This window comes from Homo sapiens, chromosome 9 (assembly GCF_000001405.40).
Source record: "Homo sapiens chromosome 9, GRCh38.p14 Primary Assembly".
Classification (NCBI taxonomy): Eukaryota; Metazoa; Chordata; class Mammalia; order Primates; family Hominidae; genus Homo; species Homo sapiens.
In genome coordinates, this window is record NC_000009.12 from 101,323,511 (window position 1) to 101,347,517 (window position 24,007).

At 40.1% G+C, this 24,007-nt stretch overlaps 1 protein-coding gene, 1 long non-coding RNA gene and 1 pseudogene across 3 annotated transcripts in view, besides 1 other annotated feature; 1 reads left to right on the plus strand and 2 right to left on the minus strand.

The window, feature by feature from the left end:
* PLPPR1 (phospholipid phosphatase related 1) overlaps nucleotides 1–1,625 on the plus strand; it is a 296,409-nt gene extending 294,784 nt beyond the window's left edge. For both annotated transcript variants that reach the window (NM_207299.2, NM_017753.3), the window contains exon 8: nucleotides 515–1,625. In NM_207299.2, the coding sequence (NP_997182.1) occupies nucleotides 515–547 (33 nt within the window). In that variant the 3' untranslated portion in view covers nucleotides 548–1,625. The remainder of the gene's footprint in view (nucleotides 1–514) is intronic.
* Nucleotides 1,626–6,191: 4,566 nt separating this feature from the next.
* LOC124902238 (uncharacterized) lies at nucleotides 6,192–10,186 on the minus strand. Its single transcript, XR_007061704.1, has 2 exons — nucleotides 10,145–10,186; nucleotides 6,192–7,464 (listed from the first exon to the last, which is right to left on the minus strand). It is a non-coding gene; the product is annotated as an uncharacterized LOC124902238 (long non-coding RNA).
* Nucleotides 10,233–10,734: an enhancer, noted in NCBI's record as "H3K4me1 hESC enhancer chr9:104096025-104096526 (GRCh37/hg19 assembly coordinates)". NCBI's record gives its function as "activates a minimal SCP1, AML or CMV promoter by ChIP-STARR-seq in primed H9 embryonic stem cells {active_cell/tissue: H9 hESC(primed)}" and the evidence as "EXISTENCE:reporter gene assay evidence [ECO:0000049][PMID:30033119]".
* Nucleotides 10,582–15,837, minus strand: ACNATP (acyl-CoA:amino acid N-acyltransferase, pseudogene; annotated as a pseudogene).

Genomic DNA, 24,007 nt, shown 5'->3' on the forward strand with positions numbered 1-24,007 from the left:
TATTTTGGATGAAAAATCAGGGAAGTTTTAATAAAAAGAGGTAAGGAGGCCAGGCATGGTGGCTCATGCCTATAATCCCAGCACTTTGGGAGGCTGGGGCGGGTGGATCACCTGAGGTCGGGAGTTCGATACCAGCCTGACCAACATGGAGAAACTCTGTCTCTACTAAAACTACAAAATTAGCCGGGCATGGTGGTGCATGCCTGTAATCCCAGCTACTTGGGAGGCTGAGGCAGGAGAATTGCTTGAACCCAGGAGGGAGAGGTTGCAGTAAGCTGAGATTGCACCATTGCACTCCAGCCTGGGCAACAATTGTGAAACTCCGTCTCAAAAAATAAAATAAAAAAACCAAAGAGGTAAGGGAAATTCAGGGGCCTTGGAAAAGCATATTAGGGGGACGGAACAGCCTGTGTACCCTTGAGGAGACAAAACAAGGGAATATTTAGGGACAAGTGAGTGTGCACGTGTCAGGCAACCCTATCTCAGATTTTATCTGCTTGTGTTTGCTCCACAGAATCACTCTGCGTCCATGACCGAAGTTACCTGAGACGACTGATGTGTCACAAGCTGTTTTTTAAAATCATCTTCCAATTCTATACTTCAAAACACACAGTTGCTCAATGTCAAACTGTGATGACAAATATTACGTTTATCTAGTTAGAAGCTAATGTTTTGTACATTTTTTGTATGAGGAAGTGATGTAGCTTGCCCTGATTTTTTTTTTTTTTTTTTGGTCAGCTTTAATATATTTATGCCAGAATTTTAAAACCAACAAAATTTTCTTGTTCAAGCGTGCATTGAAGAACCACATTTATTCAATGGTTGACGTTGTTTTGTGATATTTGTACACAAATTTTCTTTTCTCAGTTTTATAAACACAGAATATAACAATTCACTTTAAACTTTTATTACCACAGTTGCTGCCTCCTCCAGAATTTTTGAATTTTAATAAAAGGCAAACTTTTGAGCTGCAGGAAGGACAATGTTGGTTAATAATAAATCTCAAAGTCAATTGTAGAAAAAAAATTGTCTTCAAAAAGAATGTTGCACTCTGATCTCTTAACAAATTGTTACGTTCAAAGTTTAAAGTGATATATTAACAAAGTCACCTAGTTATACAAACAATTGTCAGAGAATTCTGGATTTGGAGGGTATTGGGGTTATATGATTCTTTCTTAGATAATGGCCTCTACTAAATAACTCAAGATCTTTCTGGAATGTCTTCTGGCAGGCAGGTGCCACTGTCAGCTTTTCTCCAAAAAGCAGCCAACATCAGCCTCCCCTGTCAACTCAACAGTTTTGTATCTCATATTATATGGACTTTATATGAAAATGAATATTTTACAGTTTGCACAGTATTATTTTACAGAAAAGGAATCAGAGAATCTACAACATAGGGCCCCAGAACAACAGTTTCACTTTGTGGCTTTTAATTATTCTAGAATTTTAACTGCATCTCATTTTTCTAGCATGGTGAGAACTAATATGTAACTCCTTTGATTGAAGGAGCTCTTTTGTCCGTACCTATCAGAATGTTTTCTTGACACTTCCATGTTGGCTCTTCTCAGCTTTTTTTGTACATATTTTTTTTTTCTAAAGAGAAGAAAAAGTTATCACAAAATGTATTCTGGCTCATGTCTTTTGTCTTAAGCTTTATCCACAGGACAAAGGTATTTGAAGAGTCATGATGAAGTGAACTCAAGTGTTTACACTGTTCAGTTCCACGTCTGCTGAAATAAATTCTAATAGGGGCATGACTGAGGGATAGCTTCACAGGTGTGTGTGAGAATATGTGAGTGTTTAGGCAAATAAAATTCTTTAAATTATTAAGATACTCAGAAACATTCTGGATCCCTAGCACGCTCCCTCTACCTTCAGCCTACCCATAGATACTTCTGAGTTGTCAATAAAAAGTTAGATAGTAGTTTTTAAGAACAAAAGTTACCTCTGCTAAAATTTTTCATAATCCCCCATCTCATTCTGGCCTAAGCTTACCTATGCACATACAATGTCATACACATCTTCTGGGTGATATCTGACTACAGTTAGGAGAGGGAACCAAAGAAATTTCACAAACATAATCTGTCTGTTTTCAAAACACTGAGCCCAGTGAAGCTGTGACAAAGCCAAAGGAGTACGATATATGTCAGCAGTAATATCAAAACCCAGGTCTGCCCAACTCCAAATTTCATTCTTTCCACTACATCAAGATATGCCTTTGAACCGAGTCCACATCTTTTCATGGGTTTTCAGTGTAATAAACCTACTTATCTGGTTTAAGGGATGCTGCTGGAAGAAAAGGAAACAGTGAGAAGGAATAATTTGTAAGCTCTGGGCTCTCCAATCCTGTATAAGCTACCTACCTGTAATGTCACGCAATTTCAGAATGATTTTTCTTTTTCTAAACATATTTTAGGATTTTTTAAAAAGAAACAATGAGGGATTCATTTTATTTTATTGTTCATCATAAGACATGCTGAAAAATGCTGGCAGTCTAAATTGCTTTTACATTACCCATTTCTTGTCACAATGTATCTGGCTACCAGATAGCATTTCTAAGAACATAAGTTGGTAGAGTGAGTCATGTTATCCTTCTATTCTTCTTTCTAGTTCTGATTTTAAAGGGACCTATCTGTAGTATTCCAGGAGCTTTGGCCACAGACTCCATTTTCCTGGCCTTGGACTTGGGAGATGGTGTATGACTGAGCCATGCTGAGACAGCACTCTGGTCCACTTGGAGCTAAGGGGCATCTCTGGACTCCTACCCCTGGAATCCCTGAGTCTGATTCCCTACCACTATGGCATGGCAACTTTAGTGTTGCCTCCTATTTAGCCCCAAGACACTTCACAGGCCTCACACTGATCTGTCAAGTCTGTCATTCGAAATTCTTCAGGCTAGAGACTCCTCCATGTGGGTTGCCTGCCAAGGAAAAAGCCGTCTGTCCAAATAGGACAAGTGGCGACTGTAGCCTCAGAGAATGAATTCTGCAGTAAACTTTTCTCTTTTTAAGGAAAGCCCACAGGTGCATGAGAAAGTCTGACTCTTCTTGGAAGAGGAAAGTGGGGGAGGAGAGAGAAACAAAGGAAGGCTAGCCAGGTGTGTTGACATAAGCAACCTCATGAAGCTGTTAGCCCCTGTGTTTATCTATGATGTCTTTTTTTTTTATTCTGTGCCAAGAACATCACCTGACACAGAAAAATCACTTAGTTAAAATTTCTGTAATACACAAATAGATGCCAGACTTATTCCTACTTTGGCTAAAGGGAGACTATGACTCATTTGGAAATAAAGAGGATTTTAGCGGAGCCTGAAGATAGCTGAAAGATGAATACATTTAGATGCAGGACTAACAATGGTGAGGAAACTGCACTTACCAGCTAAACATGTGGGTGCCCCTTTTGGTAAGTTCTAAATATCTCCCTATCAGGCTGTGATAGACAGATGGGCTATATGTAGCTGAAAATATAGCCCTTCAGGAGAGAATATGTATTCTGTACTGAATCAGAGAATGCAAGCAGGCAAAATTCTACCCTCAAGATGCAAGAGAGTAGGAATCACTGGGATGATATAAAGAGTGAAAGAACCACAAGTGGCATTTTTGTTTCAAAAATCTGATTAGACTCCCTATTACAGGCAACTGCCAGAACCTCTCAAATGTGTTCAGTGTCTTAGAGGTAAATACATCAAATACCAGATTGCCGAAGTCTGTTTTAAGGAGTAGATTACATTATGGTCATTATACTATTCCTGCTCTTATCGGAGGAACCCACCCCCAAAATTTCAACATAGGTTCTTTCTATTTTCCATAAGTGTCAGCAGGCTGAGAAATAAAGATAGACAGTATAAAAAGAGGAATTTTACAGCTGGGCTGCTGGGGGTGACATCACATATCAGTAGGACTGTGATGCCTGCCTGAGCCTCAAAACCAGCAAGTTTTTATGAAGGGTTTCAAAAGGGGAGGGGGTGTGAGAACAGGGAGTAGGTATAAAGATCACATGCTTCAAAGGGCAAAAAGCAGAACTACTACTAAGGATCTAACAAAGATCACATGCTTCTGAGGGAACAGGACAAAGGGCAAAAGCAGAACTATACTGATAAGAGTCCAACAAAGATCACAGGGCAAAGGGCAAAAACAGAACCACTGATAAGGGTCTATGTTCAGCGGTGCACATATTGTCTTGATAAACACCTTAAATAACAGAAAACAGGGTTCGAGAGCAGAGAACCGGTCTGACCACAAATTTACCAGGGCAGAGTTTTTCCCCATCCTAGTAAGCCTGAGGGTACTGCAGGAGACCAGGGCTTATCTCAGTCCTTATCTCAATCACACAAGACAGACACTCCCAGAGTGGCCATTTATTGACCTCCCCCCAGGAATGCATTCCTTTCCCTGGGTATTAATATTAATATTCCTTGCTTGGAAGAGAATTTTGCAATATGTCTCCTTCTTGCGCGTCCATTTATAGGCTCCCTGCAAGAAGAAAAATATGGCTCTTTTTGCCTGACCCCACAGGTAGTCAGACCTTGTGGTTGTCTTCCCTTGTTCCCTAAAAATCATGGTTGTTCTGTTCTTTTTCAAGGTGCACTGATTTCATATTGTTTAAACACATGTTTTACAATCAATTTGTACAGTTAACACAATTATGACAGTGGTCCTGAGGTGACATACATCCTCAGCTTATGAAGATAACAGGATTAAGAGATTACAGGCGTAAGCAATTATAAAAGTATTATTTTGGAACTGATAAATGTCCATGAAATCTTAACAACTTATGTTCCTCTGCTGTGGTTCCAGCTGGTCCCTCTGTGTGGGGTCCCTGGCTTCCCACAACATGCTCTGTTGAATTCAAGACATGTACTAGAACTAGCATGTCATTTACTATCATCCCCTATACTACTATAGGGATTTTTAAATAAATACCAAATCCCTTGCTCACATCCTCATTCTTGATCCAGATTGTTCCAGAATTGATAGATGCATTCACTTATTCAATAAGTACTTAATGAGCATCTATTATGTGCTAAGATCATGTGAAGAACTGGAGATACATAACAAAATAAACAGACCTATTTCTTACCCTTACAAAGCTTAGAGTGGGATAAGAGGAGAACCAACACAAAATATTTAATATATAAATGTTTTTAAGGGACTCCTGATTTAGACAGGGAAGATAGAGTTATCAGTTAAGGCTTCTCTAAAGAAGTGACATACATATTGGGCTATTCAGAATAAGGAGGTAATGAGACAGAAACCCTAAGGAAAGTCATATCAGGCCAAGGGAACAGCACATACAAAAGCCCTGAGGCAGGAAAGAGCTTTATACATGTGAAGAACTGAAGGCTGGCTGGTGAGTAAAGGGGAAAAAGATATTTAATGATACTGAAGATCAGAGATCTTGGAGGACTTGTTATGGACTTTGAATTTATCCTAAAATGGTAAGAAGCCCTCAGTGGACAGGAAGCCCTCAGTAAACAGGAGAATGGCATAGTTAGATTTGTATTTTTAAAGGATCCCTCTGGGCTACATCTGTGTGTAGAAAGTGTAAGAGGGTATTGTGTTGGACTAAACATGATTATGATTGATGTAGGGTAGTGGCAGTAATGGTAAAGAGAACATGCATTGGAAAGATATGAAAAATATCTAGGAAGCAGACTCAACAGAGTTTGAGACCCAATTGTATGTGGTGGGATCATAGCTTTCAATAAACACTTTCTTCCTAGAGAACACTTTTCCAGATCTGATTCCCCCAACTCACAGGAGCCTGGTGACAGATGAAAAGCTGGAAAGGAAAATAAATTGAATTTGGATTTACTCTCTAGCCCATTGACCCATAACAGTTTTACTTCTCATGGAAACCCAGGTAACACCACACACACTTCTAACACTAGAAATGACTCTGCCAGGAAAATTAACTTTTGCACCTCGCCAAACTAGTGCCTCTGTCCTCATCCTGGCTTGTCATTTTGGTATCCTGTGTGTCAGCATCTATAAAAAGTTACATTTTGTGGCTTTCCTATCAAGCCAAGTAAAACCATGTGATCAATGGAGGGGAGGCTGAGGGTAAAGCTCTTTTCCTCAAAAGCATTCTCTTTCTCTTTAAAAGGAAGATGTGCTTACATTTCCCTATTAATCTTAATGGAATATCCATCTATCAATTTACTTCATGTTCTTTGGAACAGAGAACAACTCTTCCTTTGGGATGATGTTTAATGCTGTTATACAAAGTAATTTCTCTGTTGAATTGTCCTATAAGGCCAAAAGTTTTTTTCAACTTCAAGCGATGTTTTTTAGTATTTCAGGATTGGATAAATCCAGACTCACTAAAGTCACACAGACTTCTTATATGTATTTCTATACAAAATATGTCCCCTTTTTATTCCCCCTCTTGGCGGCCAAAAGTTTCTTTCTGTCTTTGTAGGGATGGTGCAGTCAGGTGTTTTCTCATCTTGGCATTTTTTGCTCTTCAGCAGCCATGGGGTTTAAGTGTGCGGGTGAGCAGGTGCAGCTCCACCACAGCAGCCCATTGTCTGGTGAAGGTTTCTCTGGTTCAGGGCCTGGGCCCAATGAGGTCCATACCTAGGGATAACTAACCAGTCACCACTTGTGGAATTAATTCATCATTTGAGGGATTTAAGTGTGACAACCTTGAAAACTAATTTCTGTACATTTGGCAAAATTAAGTCAAGCCTAGAAGGCAGACCCGGGAGCCAAGATTCCAGCAGAACCTTGCAAAGAAGAAAGCTGAAAAAAAAAAACCACATTTCATTATGCTGAAATCAGATCCCTGAAAAGTAAGACCTGGGTGGTGCTGATCCCAATGAGGGAACTCCAGTTCATTTTGTTTTTTAAATATAATGGCAACACCCACAATAGAACCTGGATGTATTCATGAAAGCCATGGGTAAAAGGAGGAATAAGAAAGGATGACATATCTATAAAACAAGAACACATTTTAAGAATCAGATCCAATTATAGAACATGAAAATTAAAAATGATCAAAATAAAACCCAAGAGATTAGCTAAATAGATTAGACACACCTTAAAAACAAGTTAGTAGGTTGAACAGTTAAACTGTAAAATTCTCCAAGGATGCAGGAGGAGAAAGTAGAGAGAAAAGTAAGAGAAAATTTTAATATTCACGGAGAATGAATCCAGAAGCTCCAAAATCCTCTTAATAGGAGTTCCAAGGAAGGAACAGAAAAAATGGAAAAGGTGAAGTGGTCAGATAATTAACAGAAGCAAATGTCCTAAAGCTGAAGGCAGATTGTCTTAGTTCGTTTGTGCTGCTATAACAGAATACATGTGACTGGGTGCTTAATAAAACAGAGAAAAGTATTTCTCACAGTTCTAGAAGCTGGGAGTCCAAAATCAAGGTGCCAGCAGGTTCAGTTGTCTGGTGAGGACTGCTCTGTTTCCAAGATGGTGCCTTGTTGCTGAATCCTCAAGGGAAGGAACACCGTGTCTTTATGTGGCAGAAAGCAAAAAGACCAAACGCTCCATGAAGCCTCTTTTTATAAGAACCCTAACCTCATCCACGAGGGAGGAAGCCTCATGGCCTAATCGCTTCTAAAAGGCCTCAGCTGTTAATACTATTACATTGTATGGCAACCCTCCCATTTTCAGGTGTTGGAACTTGATGTATATTACATTACATTAAGTGTTGAACATTAAGTTTCAACACCTGAAATTGGGAGGGACACCATACATTCAAACTATAACATAGAAACAAGTTTTTAGTTTGAAATAGGCCATATAGTGCCAGTCAAGATAAATTTAAAGAGTACTAATAAACCTAACCCTAGTCATATCTTGATGAAATCTCAGAACAAAGAGAAAATTGTAAAAATCTTCCAGAGAGAGAGAGAAAAAATCCCACAAAGTAAGGAGAATCAGACTTCTCATTGGCAAAAATTGTCACCGAAAAAAACCCCAAAGTGCTGAAGGAAAATAATTGTTAATATCAAATTCTTTCACTATAAAAATTATCATTAACATGTCAGAGCAAAAGATAGACATTTTCAGATGTACTAAGATTCAAATGAATATGAATCTTTCAAGGAATTATGTGAGCTTGTACTTTGAACAAATGGCAAAATAAAAGTAAAGCCAAGAATTTCTTAAAAATGAATTGTAAGACAGAGCAAGGATGCCAAAGTTATTGCTGTACATATAAAAAGAAAGAGCAAGGAAATTATTAAAGCATAGTTATTATTGTTAAAAATAATCTGAAATTAATGGGGGAATTCCATGGGAGAAAAAGATGTAGTACATACTAACATTCTTGTCTTTGGGGACAGAAAGGTAAATATCTTGAATATATCTCTTTTTTTAACTTTTTATTATGAAAAATTGTGGGCAAACATAAAAATAGAGAGATAATATAACAAACTTGACTACACCCATCATCTAAACTTAATAATTATTCACATTTTGCCATATTTCCATAGTATTTTAAATTACCAGATGTCACGACTCTATTATGCTAAATATGTCAGAACGCATCTCTAAATAGTGACTTTTTTACATAACCACAATGGTATTATTACACCTAACAAGATAATAACAATTCCTTAGTATCATTTAATATCCAGTCCATATTCAAATTTCTCGAATTATCCCCAAAATGTCTTTTTACAGTTACTTTATTCAAACCAGGGCCACACATCACATTTTGTTGATATGTCTCAAGTCTCTTTTAGTTCTGAAGTTAATTGCCCCAGCCCACTCTAGCCTTTCTTTTTTTCACGTAATTAACTTGTTGAAGAAACAAGGCAGTTGTCCCGTAGAATGACCCATACTCTGGATTTGTTAACTTGTAGGGCCATTTACCTTGTTCTCCAGATACCATAGTAATTATTAATTAATTGTTAAAGGCTTGATTAGTTTCAAGCCTACTCCTAGGATTAGTTTCACTACTCCTGAAACTGTCATTAGGAGTAGTTCTAAGCAGTGCTGGGTCCTCCACATTACATCCCATCATGAAGCATATGTCACTGACCCCTTTTACAGATGCTAAACTTAAGCAGTGAGTTCAGGTGGTAATAATCTGATTCCTTCATTGCAAAGTGACATTCCTCCCCTCCTCCTAGTAATGGCAAATTATTTACAGGATAACACTTTGTACTTTTGCAAAATCACTCTTGGGTTTAAACAGAACAAAAAGTAAATCAGAACTTTCTTAGAAATTAATGAAATGAGAGCACTGCATATCACAAAGCCAGGAAAATACAAAAGCGGCAGCAGAAAATAATTTATTTCTAAAAATCAGAAATCAATGAATCAGTAAAAAACAATTTGACCAAAAAATAAACCAAAAACTGTCCCTGGAAAAGATAAATAAAAGAGAAATATTTGGCAAATCAGGCTGAGAAGAAAAAGAAAACATGCATATAAACAATAGGGGCCATATCAAAAATTGTAAGAGAAAAATGTGTTCTAGAAAACATGGGTGCAATTCTGAAAAAATGTAAATGTCCAGATTGGCTCTAAAACAAATTTTAAAACCCACATTAATCAATATGAGAAATTAATTTATTAAAATTAGATACATAAGAAAAATTAGTCCATTAATGAATGAAATTCACCTCACTAACAGACTGGAGAAGGACAGCTTTATGAAAATAATAATGGCTAACTCTAGAATAGTAATTGCTGTGTGCCAGGCACTGTTCTAACAGCTTTAAAAAATATTAACTCATTTAATTAATAAATGCCACAAAGGCATTTGATAAAATTCAATTTTATTAAAATGGTAAATATATATTTTAGGAATAAATAGAAGCATCACTATTCTAAAAAAAGTAAGACTCTACTGGAAATCTATAGCAAGCATTATACTTAATGGTGGTTTTAGAACTTTTCATATCAAGTGTCAGAAACGCAATTCAAAATCGTTTAAACAGAAAATGTATTTCTGTCAGTAACTTGGAGTTTCTAGGGAATTTATCTAGATTGGCAATGCCTGGGCCCAGGGTATTGCTAACTGGGGTATAGAAGATTATTCAGTTTGCAAGGGGCCAGGTGTAGTGGCTTATGCCTTTAATCTCAGAACTTTGGGAGGCAGAGGCAAGAAGATTACTTGAGGCCAGCCTAACCAGATCCTGTCTCTCCAAAAAAAATTAGCTGGGCTTGGTGATACACACCTGTAATCCCGGTGACTCAGTAGGCTGAGGTGGGAGGATAGCTTAAGCCTGGCAGTCTGAGGCTACAGTAAGCCATGATCCTGGCACTGCACTCCAGCCTGGGTGAATGAACGTGCCTCTGTCTCAACAACAAAAACAAACAATAAAAAAATTTGCAAGGGTATCACCATTTTGAAATAATAATGTGCCTTAGTTCGTATAAACTAGGATTCAATTTACAAAAATTTGAAACACGTACCAATTTATGAGAAATACTTCCCATGAATGTGTGCCCGGTCCTTTGATTTTTGTCTGACCACCTTCCAGTTGATTCAAGATGACTGTGAATCCAGCCAAACTAGGAGAGCCCCCTCTCCCCACTGTGCTCTTGCCTTATCCTCGTTATCCTCCCACCCGCACTCCAGCCTCTGTCCACCCCATCATCACTCAGCTTTTGCTCAGAGTTTGCTTCTGGTCTTAATGAGGTGTTGCCTGAAGAATTTCTGGATCTCCCCCAAGGCGTGCTCCTGGGCTGCCGCATGAGCAGCAGCGTCTCCTCCCCAGAGCAAAGGCCTGGAAATGCCCGGGTTCCAGCACGCGAAGCACAAGGGAGCATAGGGCGGTTCTAGGAGGTGGCCTGCCCCGAGGTGCACCAGCATCCTCCCGCTGCTTCTGCCATGGCTCTGCAGCTGGTCCACGGCCTGCTCAGCGTACGCTTTGCTATCCAGGCATTCGTCACTCTCCCCAGCAATGAAAAGAATCCAACCCCTAGCCTTTTCAACAGGAAGCACACTCTGCTGATGGAGCCCATCTCGGGGAGTCTCCCTTACAGTGGCAGAGGAGCACAGCTCCAGAGACGTGGACCTGCAGGCGCTCCTGAGCTGAGCTGAGCTGAGCTGATGGGTGTCACAATCAGATCCCCGTATCTGAGTGGAACTTCAAAGCTGGCGTTGGGCCCGTTAATGCAGACGGTGGCCACCACCTGCTTCAGGTAGCAGGCCATAGCCAAGCCAATCTCGGCACCTTTGCACACGGAGATCACTCCAATTCCTGGCCTTTGGATCTGAAGCACAAAACAAAGGGAATCTGCTACAGGTCACAAGCTGAGAAAGAGCTGTCCCGGGCATGCCAATAAATAAGTATGATGGAAAGAGTCAAAGAAGGTCGAGTCTTGGCACTCAGATTTACCAGCTCCTGGGACTGAGAATGTTACCCACTTAACTCTCACTAACCTTTATTGTCTTGTAGGGATGATACCGACCTTGCAAGGCTGTTATGAGGATCAAGTGAAACAATAGAAATAAACACTCTTCATCAATAGTAGAGTTTTGTAAGGGCAAAAAGAGTCTAACCCACCAGTGATGCTTGGCATTACAAGAATAGAGCCAGGTAAGCTTTCTGAAGAATAAAATTCTTGTCTCTAGCCAGAAAAAAAGGGTGTTTTTCAGGTTCTCTCAAATATTATGTAAGTGGAATTCACATTTAAATAGCATTTTATAGCTACAAAGGTTTTGCCCATATATTACCTCCATAAATTCAACAGCTAATCCTGAAAGCAATGAGAGTATGAAGACAAAAGGCTTGGATTCAGTAAATAATTGAATTGTAGTACCAATAGGAAAAGGTAGTAGCTCATAGAGGAGGATCATTCGTTCTCTGGTAGACTGAGGGAGCTGAGGGGACATGAAAGGTCTGAAAGATGAGGGGGGAAAGGAAGGGCACTCTGGACAGACAACGACAGGTACATAAAGACCTAGTTTGTTTATTTTGCTCACAGTTGTGCCCCTAGCACTTCCTGTCATCAGAATCATCTGATTTTTTTTTTAATTTGAGCTTCCTGAGACTCAATTTTTCAAGTGTCTGTTCCCATAGGTATGAGTGGGCCCAAGAATCTGATACTGTAAAATGTCCCCCAAGGAAATTGGGAAACATCTGTGTGATTAATGAATAAGGGAGTGAAGGAGGATGGCTGTAACTGGAAGTCAGAAATTGACTAGTAGGCTAAAACAATCTCAAGGAGGACGAAGAAGGTCCTCCTTGAGAAAGACAGGAGTAGAACCTAAAACACTTGTGACTGGTTGAAGACTTGGGGAGAGAGGGAAGAAAATAGATGGGCAAAGATAACAAAGTGGTTTTTTTCAGAGTTTACTCTATGCTAGCTGCTATACACACATTATCTCAGCTGGTCTTTCCAATAGCCAAACTGGATTCAGGAAACTTAAAAGATTTGCTTAAGGCCACAACATTATCAAGGGGCAAAGGTGGAAATTGAAGCTTATCCCCTGAATCTAAATCTAAGTTGAATATCTGCAGTTGACTTTTCTTCCTCAGATTAATTTCACAAATAGTTAAATCTGAAATGGAAAAAAAATAATTTGAAAACATTTTAGTTGGGATTTAATTCTTTTTAGGCAATCTTTTAAAAAGACCCAAATAAGCTTAGAAAAATTACACATGTTTTCTCAACACTAAAGATGAAGATGTTGATAATGTCCCAATAGGAAACATATCCTCTCTCTCCTTGAGAAGAGTCAAGGCTCTCCAGGGTTGGGGTGGAAAAGAATAAAACATTTGAGGAAGTCAAAGATAATTTAATGGTTTGGAGCAAGGACCTTATCAGATTGTATCTGTCACTTACTGCCTATGTAGTTTTGACACATTACTTTAAATATGCTTTCTCATCTGAAAAATGAGGTTGCTGTTGATAGTACTTCATAAGGCTATTGTGAATGTTACATGAGACTTCATATAAAATGTTTATCATAGAGTCTAACAAATATCACTCATCAAATGTAAGCCAGTATTGTTTTACCAGTATTAAGTTGATCCACAAGAAATGGCTGACATTTGAACATTTTGATCTGCAAAACAGTAAGTTAAACTTAGTAGAATACCAACCCTGATACTTGATATTGTGATATCTATTTCTGGGTTTCTTTTTTTTTTTTTTGGAGACAGAGTCTCGCTCTGTCTCCCAGGCTGGAGTGCGGTGGCCCGATCTCGGCTCACTGCAACCTCTGCCTCCCGGGTTCAAGCAATTCTCCTGCCTCAGCCTCCGGAGTAGCTGGGACTACAGGCGTCTGCCACCACGCCTGGCTAATTTTTGTATTTTTAGTAGAGACAAGGTTTCACCATATTGGCCAGGCTGGTCTCGAACTCCTGAACTTGTGATCAGCCCACCTCAGCCTCCCAAAGTGCTGGGATTACAGGCATGAGCCACCGCGCCCGGCCTCTATTTTTAATCATTAGCACAAATATCAGTACTTTGGAACTCCTCAAGAGAATAGATCCTAGTTCAACTAATATTTACCTCTTAGAAGAAGCTAGGTTAATGTTACTATTCCAGTCCTTCTCAATCATTAATGTGCATAAGAATCACCTGAGGATCTTGTTAATATGCAGTTTGCTGTTTCAGGGATGGAAAATGAGATGCTGCATTTCTGAAGGCTTCCAGGTGATGCTGTGGCCACTGGTCCATGAACTACATTTTCAATAGTAGAAGGACACACTTGACAAAGAGTGCTAAAATGACCCTTCCTTTTCAGATTCCTTTCTCTAGCCTGGCTCTTGGCATTGGACACTTACTCTATGCTTCACTTGGCCCCTAGCTCTGAAACTAACTAAAAAGCTAATTCAGCTAGTCAGGTAATGCAGTCAAGTCAGTTTTGCCGATACTCCCGACCTGATCTTGTATCTTTGTCCTGATCTTAGTTTCAGGACTCTTCAGTGTGACTTACTACAGCATTATCCCCCTGCAGAGATAATCACTGAAGTTTCAAAACATGTCAAATCAGAGAATTCCTGATTTGAGGTGAGTGACAGTAAAGCATTGAAGAGACCCTTATGAATAAGTTACAAACACTTCAAATGAAAGGCATCTTGGTTTTTTTCCACTAAAAAATAATCACATTATGTCCACCATTTATTTATTGTCTTCTATGTGCCAATAAGCACAAAACTGATCACAAATCAACTCAACAATCTTTCAAGGCAGTTATTACCATCCCCATTTAACTGTCAGCTCTGCTGTGTCCAAGTCTGTGCAAATTGGTAAAACAGAGCAGACACTGGTGATTTTGTTTTTTTGTAGTTGTCCAAGGTAAAATGGAAAGTATTTTAAATACCTTGGGATGAGCTAGTAGCAAGTTGGCAGCTTCCTCAAAATATTCCAAGTCCACCTCCTGCAGTTTGTCAGGCAAGTCTTTGTAGGCAAAATATGCTAATGCCAGCACTGCAAAACCATGGGAAGCCAAAAGACTGGCCCGAAATTCTACTAGGCTCCCAATGCCCCCAAACAAATCAATGACTCCTGGGAAAGGGCCTTCCCCTGCGAGTGCAAAGAGAGAAGAGAATGGGATCAGAAAGAGCGAAAAAAAGGTCAAATAGCCGTGAAAATGCAAGGTGAGCAAAATTACACACACACACACACACACACACACACACACACTGGCACATTAGTTTTAAAACTTTATGGGAGGCCAGGGGCGGTGGCTCACGCCTATCATCCCAGCACTTTGGGAGGCCAAGGCGGGCGGATCACAAGGTCAGGAGATCGAGACCATCCTGGCTAACACGGTGAAACCCCGTCTCTACTAAAAAATACAAAAAATTAGCCGGGCGTCGTGGCGGGTGCCTGTAGTCCCAGCTACTAGAGAGGCTGAGGCAGGAGAATGGCGTGAGCCCGGGAGGCGGAGCTTGCAGTGAGCTGAGATCGCGCCACTGCACTCCAGCCTGGGCGATAGAGCGAGATTCCATCTCAAAAAAAAAAAAAAACTTTATGGGAAATACGGGTTCTCTAATAATTTGATACAATTTGTTATTGTTTTTATTTCCATTATGATATGGTTTGGCTGTGTCCCCAGCGAAACCTCAACTTGAATCGTATCTCCCAGAATTCCCAGAGTCAAAGAAGGAATTCTGGGAGATACGATTGGGAGGGACCCAGGGCAAGGTAATTGAGTCATAGCAGCTGATCTTTCCGGTGCTATTCTCATGATAGTAAGTCTCACGAGATCTGATGGTTTTATCAGGGGTTTCTGCTTTTGCTTCTTCCTCATTCTGTCTTGTTGCTGCCATGTAAGAAGTGCCTTTCACCCTCCGCCATGATTATGAGACCTCCCTAGCCATGTGGAACTATAAGTCCAATTAAATCTCTTTTTGTTCCCGCTTTCGGGTATGCCTTTATCAGCAGCATGAAAATGAACTAATACACATTAACAGTGGTTTCTGTATCACAAAAGATTAGTTTCACCTGGAGGGAGAAAAAGGGCTCCTTGCACTGGACCTTCTTGGATCTGCTGCCTCTGCACCCCAGGGCCTGAGAACCAGTGCTGCACGGTCTGGCTGGCCTTGGGCTGAACAGTGGCTGAATCTTGAAAACAAATGGAGTCATATAGGTCCAGACTGACCCAAAAGGGGCTGTTCATCACATCCTGCTTGAGCAGCCTCCGGAAAGGCCTCTCAGGCTTCAGAGACCAAAAGAGGCCCATTGGATGTACCCCCATGTAGTCACCTCCAAATGCCGGAGCCTGCTCCAGGTCCACCTCACCAGCCTCATTAGCCCTGTAGAAGGCCATGGATCAGAATAGATTCCTCTTCTCGTCCTTCAGCGAGGCCTTCAGAGTTATCACCTGGGATGGGGGCAGGCCTGTCCCTTGGATATGCACTGGATCATCTGCAAGGGCACTTGCTGGGGTGGCTGACAGCTGGAACATTGGCAACTGGCAAGGGACCAAGTGGTGCTTCACCCTCTGTAGTGGGAGAGAAGACTTTAAGTTGGAGATTTAAATTCCAAGAAAAGGTCAAGGCAAGGTTTATATTAGGTCTGACCAAATTAAACTTCTGGGAACTTAGTGAAAAATGTGCAGAACTTTTGGAGGAGGGAGAGAGAGACATGCAGAAAGTACTCATTGTTCTCATTTTACAGATGAGGAAACGGGTTATATGGCATGCTCCAAGTCTCACAAGTAGTTGATAGTAGAAGTGGGAATTCAAGCTATATCTGACACCACAGCCTTCTGTCTTATCCATTATAACACTAGTAAATCTTAGTTTCGTGGTTTTCAGTACATTAAGGTTTAATTCTTCAGCTGAAATAATACCCGTATGACCTATCTTTGTAAGGTATTAGGAGCCAAGGGGGATAATACATGACAAAGGGCTCTGAAACAACACTGCTTTTCAGCCCCCACACCTGTTGGGTATGGCTATGGGCACAGACTTACATAAACACACTCTCTGTTATTGTCGTTGTTATTTTCCTTTTAGTCTGTCATCCCTACCTGCCATTGTTAGACCTCTAGCTCTTTGCAGATTTTCCATTGTTTGTTCTTTTTAAGGGAAAATAAAACTTCATGCTCTTGTCTTTGCTATTATGCTTTTCTAATAGAGTTATGAATGCCAATGTTGTTTGTAGTAAAGAGACTACCATATACATTTGATTGGCCACTTTGTACCCTGCTCCATTATAAGGAAAATGGGGTCTTCTTCCCTCCCTCCCTTCCTTCCTTTCTTTTTTCCTCCGTACCCCATTCCACAAAAGATTTGAATCTGTTTACTGACAAAGAGTAAAACAGTTAAAGAGTAAAATTAAATAAAATAAGATTTGGGAAAATATGGACTAGGATTACAAGTATTTATCACAGAAAACCTGGAACATGAAAAGAAGGGCATTTTGTGGGTTGTAAGTTTGGTGCCAATCTACTGATAGCCAAAGGAAAAAGGGCTGCCTGGTCAGTTATGTTGTTCTAACTATTCTCAAAGAAAAAATTATCAGTTCCTTAGGGGAAAGGAAAAAGTGAGGCCCTTCCCAAAAAGATCTTTAGCTCTAAAAGATATTTCTCACATGAGACTTTGGCATATACATCTGAACCATTTTTCAACAATATCTTCACAGAAATAGCAGTAATAGGTGTCCCCCTAAAAGCTTGACTCTCCAAGGGGTCCTTAATTTTATTTAGGGGATAATTCAAAATAAAGGCTTTGGGGTTTGTATTTGGGTGCAGAAAAACTTCTGTGGAAATAAATAGGCTCCAGTAGTGCAGGTGGAGGAAAAGAGCAATTGATGCCTGTCTTAGTTTGTTGTGTATGCTATCAGGGAATACTTGAGGCTGGGTAATTTATAAAGAAAAGAGGTTTACTTGGGGCTTATGATTCTGCAGGCTGTACAAGAAGCATGGCTCCAGCATCTGCTCTTGATGTGGGCTTCAGGCGGCTTCCACTCATGGTAGAAGGAGAAGGGGAGCCGTCATGTACAGCCATCACATGAGAGGAGAGGAAGCAAGAGAAAGAGGGCAGGAAGATGCCAGGCTCTTGCTAACAACCAGCTCTCAGAGGAACTAAGAGTGGGAGAATGCACTCATTACCACAAGGACCTCAACAAAACATTCAGGAGAGATTTGCCCCCATGACCCAAATACCTCCCAAGAGGCCTCACCTCCAAGAGTAGGGATCAAATTCAACGTGAGATTTGGAGGGGTCAAACATCCCAACTACAGCAATGCCCAATTCTCTACTGTAGATAAGAGATTAGTCATCAGAGGTAGAAGAGGATCAAGGGGAAAACGTCTTTTTGCATTTACTTTTAAAAAGTGATTTTCTGCAAAGTACACACTCCCACCTGATAAACTCATTAACAAACAGCACTACTGGCCATTTTACACACACTTAAATTCATGGTCAATACATTAATTTTGAATAAATAGAATGATTATGAATATATTTTCTCAATATTGGGAAAGTTCTTGACGGAATGTGGCATCATTTCCAACTTCATGAGTCTTTCATTCATGTTAGGGAGATGGGACATGTAATATTAAAAAGAGTGTCTGGTGTCCCCTGCAACATTTCAATGTTCTCTAGGTATTAATATTTTCTGATATGATTCCTTCCTGTAAGCCTCTGTATCTGCTGTCCTCTTTGTCCCCCAAAAAGATATCTTTAAGAAGACATCATTGATTCTTCCTCTCCTTGCTATTATTCTCCTTCTCTAAACTTCTGTACAATGCATTAGCCCAATACAGCTTTTATTTTTATAGTTAATTATTTTAATTGCTTACTATAACCACTCTTCAGCATGCATCCTGTATCTAGTTTTATCCTCCCAAATGAGCCTCTCAAGGGTAGTAACTGTGTATGAAAACTTTAGGGATCCTTTCAACATTGATATAATAAATTATACAATGTACATGTTTAGGAGTTATAAGGTTTATAAGGGGCAGAATAAATTAGCACCAAAAATGTAATGGAAATAAATATTATATAGTACATGTGTGATTGAAGATTTGAGGCTTTCTTCCCAACTTGTAGTTCCTTTTTATCTGAGAATAGTCTCCTAAAGCCCAGAGCTATGATCACTCAAGAGCTATGTATGTACCTTGTGGCATCAGCCCTGGTGCCATTGCTGATTGGATTAGAGCTGAATTTCAGATTCAAGATGTGGCAATGATGTTTTCACCTTGTTAGCTTAGAATTGAGACCCAGAGATCAATAGTCACTCTCTCAGGGTCAAGACTAAGGTGAGGCAAGAGAGGCACCTAGAGGACCAAAGTTTACTTTCATGTCACTGAGAGACCAAGCCTCTAAGGTCTTCCTGATATTTTGCACCCTTGAACCTCTCTTTCCTTACCCTGGCCCTGGACTCACATGTAATTGAATCCATAAAATTCAGAAGCTGAAGCTGTATCCAGATAATCCCAGAAAATCAGTCTTAGGGAAAAGATGTGGGAGTTTGAGGGGAGGGGGAGAGGGAGAGGAGGGGAAGGGGGGGAAGGGGAGGGGGAGGGAGAGATGGGGAGGGGAAGAGGGAAGGGGAGGGGGAAGAGGAAGGGGACGGGGAGAGGGGGGGAACGGGGGAGACGGGGACAGGGAGAGGGGGAGGGGGAGATGGGGGGGAGAGTGGGAGGGGGAGGGGGAAGGGGAATGGGAGGGAGAGATGGGGAGGAGGAGGGGGAGATGGGGAGGGGCAGGGGGAGGGGGAGGGGGAGATGGGGACCAGGAGAGGGGGAAGGAGAGAGGGGGAGAGAGAAGTTATGAATGAATAAAGTAGATATAAAGATGAAAGGCAGAGAAAGTAATCTTACTAGATTTCAAATTCCTGGTTCCAACCACTCCTGAAGGTCAACTGTACTTGAGTTCTTTGAGACACTCTGGCATCCTTATAATAGAATCCCTTTGTTTACATTAGCTTGAGTTGATAACTATTACTTGCAATCAAAGAGTCAACTAGTTCAACTTTGCATTTCACAAACTCGGGATGATTGACTTCTGTAAGGTCATATCATGGTCAAGAGAGAAAAGGTGCCAAGTTTCCTGACTTAGTTGCATGCTTTTTTTTTACTGGCCAACAGACTATGATTCAAACTTTGGGAAAGCATATGACTTTTACTTTTTCTAAAAAGTTCTACTGAGTGAGAAATTCCTCTAGGATATCCCAACAGTCTGGGGTTTCCTTTTGGTCATATATGAGAGTCTACCAACAGAGAAAATCCCAGCATCAAACTCCTTCCTAAAACCAGGCTGGCTATGCCCCTAGACTATGTGATGGAATCAATCTCACCCTGTTATATGAAGGTCTGGTATCCCACATCACTCACCACCTCTCTGTGTTGTCTCTGCTACTCTATATTAGTGAAGGCTACTAATGTCAAGGTACAGAAATCTCCAAATTTTGAGGCCCCTAGTCCCAAAAAGAGATCTTTCAATATAATCCCACTTAACCTTTACCAACAGAAATATATCTAACCCGGAAAAAATGATCTTGTTATCTAAACTGAAAAAACATATTATACATTTTCGTGTATAGATTCCTTTCTGGTGAATTGATAGCATCAGCACACTGTAAACTAAGGAGAGCAGTTGTAGGATTTATTAGTTTAGCTACAGAAAAATCAGTCTTTTCCCATGAGTGTGGGTACTTTTTTATTCTCAGCCCACTACTATCAATTCTCCTTAAAGCTGGGGTATTTGTTTGTAGACACCTGATTTTCAGTCTGTAAGAAACACAATGATTCCATCATGTTTCTGTCCTTGAATCACTTGTTGAATTGTATGTTAGGACAGTGACTGTCTTTAGGACTCCGAGCATGCACATTAAACAGCCACGAGACATACAGTCTGTATCAGTCTTTTCTCACGTTGCTGATAAAGACATACTTGAGACTGGGCAATTCTATTCTCCCCTTAATTTATTTTTCTCTAACAGCAATTATTAAGCATTTACTAAAAGCTAGCTACTGGATAATATTAATTCCCATAGTAAAGCTTTTTCACTTTTCAAGGCTCTTTCAAGGTCATTATTCCCTGTGGGAATGACAACCCTGTAGGAATAAAAACATATTACTATGCTTACATTACAAATTAGGAAATAGAGCTCAGTGAGTTAAATGATTTAGCCAAGTTTGCCTATGTAGTCAATGGTGAAGCAAGAATCTTAACTCATACCAGGTGACCCAACACATAAACCTTAACTATTTTCCCCAAATGAGAGTAGAAATATGAAAACTCACTCTTCTCTTAACCTACCCCTCCTTTTTTTCTTTCTCAATACTTTATTTTTAATTTCATCTTCATTTTTCCTGACTCTGAACCTTTTAGTTAAGTATACACCCTGTTGCATACTTTGGCAGGACAGATAGTGAAATAGTAGAATTATAGCCCACAAACTCATGCGTGCACAAATGTATTTTTTTCTATTTTTCTAGATTCCAAGTAAATTCCATTTTAAGTATTTGTTCTAAGATTATATCTCTGCCACCTGGAGGAACAAAGACTCAAAATAGAAATTACTTGGAATCCAAGTAAGTTTTCTGTGACTTCTATAATGCTGAAAGACTCGGGAAGCTTATATATTATTGTGCATTCTTCTGAACCTGCTGTACAATGTATGCCAGAGGCTCCAAATTCAGATACCCATGGGGACCCAAGCAGGTAATATAAATTTATAGATAAGGGCCAGGAATAAATGAGATACAGAACTGTAAAGAACTAAAGACAACCTAGTCTTTAGCCCAGTCTAAAGGTATTCAGTGGGCAACAAAACAAGATATGAACCAAACAAAACATACTCATTTATGACTTCTGGAGTGCATATCAGCCATTAGGATTTTTATAACTCAAAAACCAAAAGAAGATTTTTTCCCTCTTTCTGATGTGTTACCTTTTTTTAAGGCAATGGATATCAACTGGCCTCCTTTAGGTAGAAGAAGGATGACAAAGTAAAGTGGAAATGCCAAAATGAGGGGATGAGAAGTGGGAAGTGAGAACCCATCTATTAATATGTCCAATGATAAAGAATGAGTTGAGCCGGGCGCGGTGGCTCATGCCTGTAATCCCAGCACTTTTAGAGGCCGAGGCAGGCAAATCACGAGGTCTGGAGTTCGAGACCAGCCTGGACAATATGGTGAAACCTCATCTCTTCTAAAAATACAAAAATTAGCCGGGTGTGGTGGCATGCACCTGTAGTCCCAGCTACTCAGGAGGCTGAGGCAGAAGAATCACTTGAACCCGGGAGGTGGAGGTTGCAGTGAGCCAAGATCACGCCACTACACTCCAGCCTGGGTGACAGAGCAAGACGCTGTCTCATAAAAAAAATAAAAAAAGAACAAGTTGACACTGGCTGGCCTCAAAATCCAAAGCCTTCAAACCTTCTCCTTGCCATCTCTCCCCATGCTTAATCTATATGACTTTTTCCTACTTTTCTATTACATTTGTATTACCTTATTCTCAGTTGGATCCCAACTAATCCATATACATGGATTCATACCCTTGTTAGTTGATAAGGCTTATTGCTTCTCAGAGCTAGCTCCTCATAGATTCCAGAGTGTTAATTTATAAGATCCTTAAGGCTTCTCCTGTCCAACACTTCATTGTCATAATCATCAATAAACTACCTACTGTATAAGGGACACCCATCTGAAGAGGTCTCTCCTTCCTCTGGGCCCTCCAGCATGCCTCTCAAAGCACTTAATATATTGAGCCTTATAATCATTTATGTTGTGTTTTCTCTCTCCTATTAATCTGAAATTTTCTTGAGGGCAGAATTCTGTTTGATTTATTTGTCACCTTTACTGTATACAGAGCCCTTCACATACCATGTGTTCATAAATGATTTTAACTGTACACTCTTCATTCCCACAAACTCTCGTCCTTTTTCCCAAATCTTTCTTCCTTTTTACAGTTTTTTTTTTTTAGTCTCTACAATATTGTCAGACTGATCTCTGCAAAACTCAAAAGTCAAATTACTCTTCTACTTTAAACTTCCAGTAGCTCCCGGATTCATTTAAGGGTAGAATCTAAATCCTTTGGCATAGCACTTAAGACCATTTCCAAGGGAGTGGCTCTACCATGGAGCCCTAGAGACTCTACATGTGTCTACATGGGATGCACAGGCAAAGCTTGGACTGCCATATGACCTAAATCTGGGTGGAATGCCCTGTGATCCTCCTAGGAACATGGCAAGGGAGGAAATCTTCAGAGAAGGCTTCGCGAGGTTGTTTTCTCATCTGCCTCTATCTTGTGGGATGCTGCCATGAGGCGGTTTTCTGATATAACTCCCAGGTTCCAGAGGAACATGAGACTTCCAACTTAACCCCTATGCTTCCGTAGGGCAGAACTGCAGCTCTATAGCCATTTAGCTGCAGTCTGGAATTGACTGGCCAGCAATAGGGTGTATCACAACTCTTGCTGAAGCCATCTGACCCCTTTTGTTTCAGTGCCATCCTTTTGGTGTGTGGGATGAGGACTCATAGGGCTGACATCTTTAGCTTCTCTTTTCTTCACTATGTATATAAGTAATAATCTGGCTGAATCTAAAATTAGTTCATTATTTCTTTACCAGCTGAATCTGTAAGTGTTAGACTTGGACGGTCCTTTGTGTTTGGCACCTTTCATAATCTGATTCAATCAAAGCCTTTAACCCTGATCTATTTACTAGTCTAAACAACTATCTCATTACAAACTTAACATATGATATTGTGAAAGTCTGCTTCTTTATCTGACTATCCATTTTCTGCTCTATACAAATACAGTAGTCACTAGCCATACATAGCTAATTAAATGTAATTAATTAAAAATAAATAAAACAAAAATCTAGTTCCTCAGCCACACTAACCACAATTTAATTGCTCAATAATCACATGTAACTAGTGGCTACTATATTGAACAATGTAGATACGGAACATTTCTGCCATTGGAGAATATTCTATTTGATAGCACTATTCCAGATTGTAAATTCCTCAAGGACAGAAATTCTACCCTGTTCAACACTGTGTTCTTCAGTTCTTAGAATAGGGCATGACACATATTTACTAAGCAAGTGGCTGCTTAATAAATATTTGATGAATACATGAAAGAATAAATGATATGCATAAAAGAAAAAAATTGAGTAAAATTTCTGAGAGACGATGAATAAGAAAGAATAGAAGCCAACTTGACTGTTTATATTCTACTTCTGAAGATGGGAGATGCTTCAAGATCTGATTGAATATATTTTCCCAGCTTCCCCACTTTTTTGCACTGGAAGCCAGGACTCCTCACACTGCAGGGTATTCAGGAAACAAAGGATACAAAGCAGTGGAGAACAAGCAGCATTAACCTTGCTGCCTTCCACAGGATTCGCCTTGAAGTGGTTGGGGAGGGAGCCCTTAGCAATATGGAGACAGCCTTATTGGAGGCTGAACATGAAAGCAATGTTATGGAGTCTGGAGGTCCCTGACCACAGTAAAAGGGATCAAGTCTACATCACTGGGAGACAGTGGCCTATTAGAAGAAAGAGAAGTCAAAAACTGGTAGAGCGCCAAAAAGAGGGGCAGAAAACAAAGAATAAAAGAACAGAAGGTCACCAATGCAGATTAAAATTACTAATCAAGAAACAAAACTCTTGTTTTC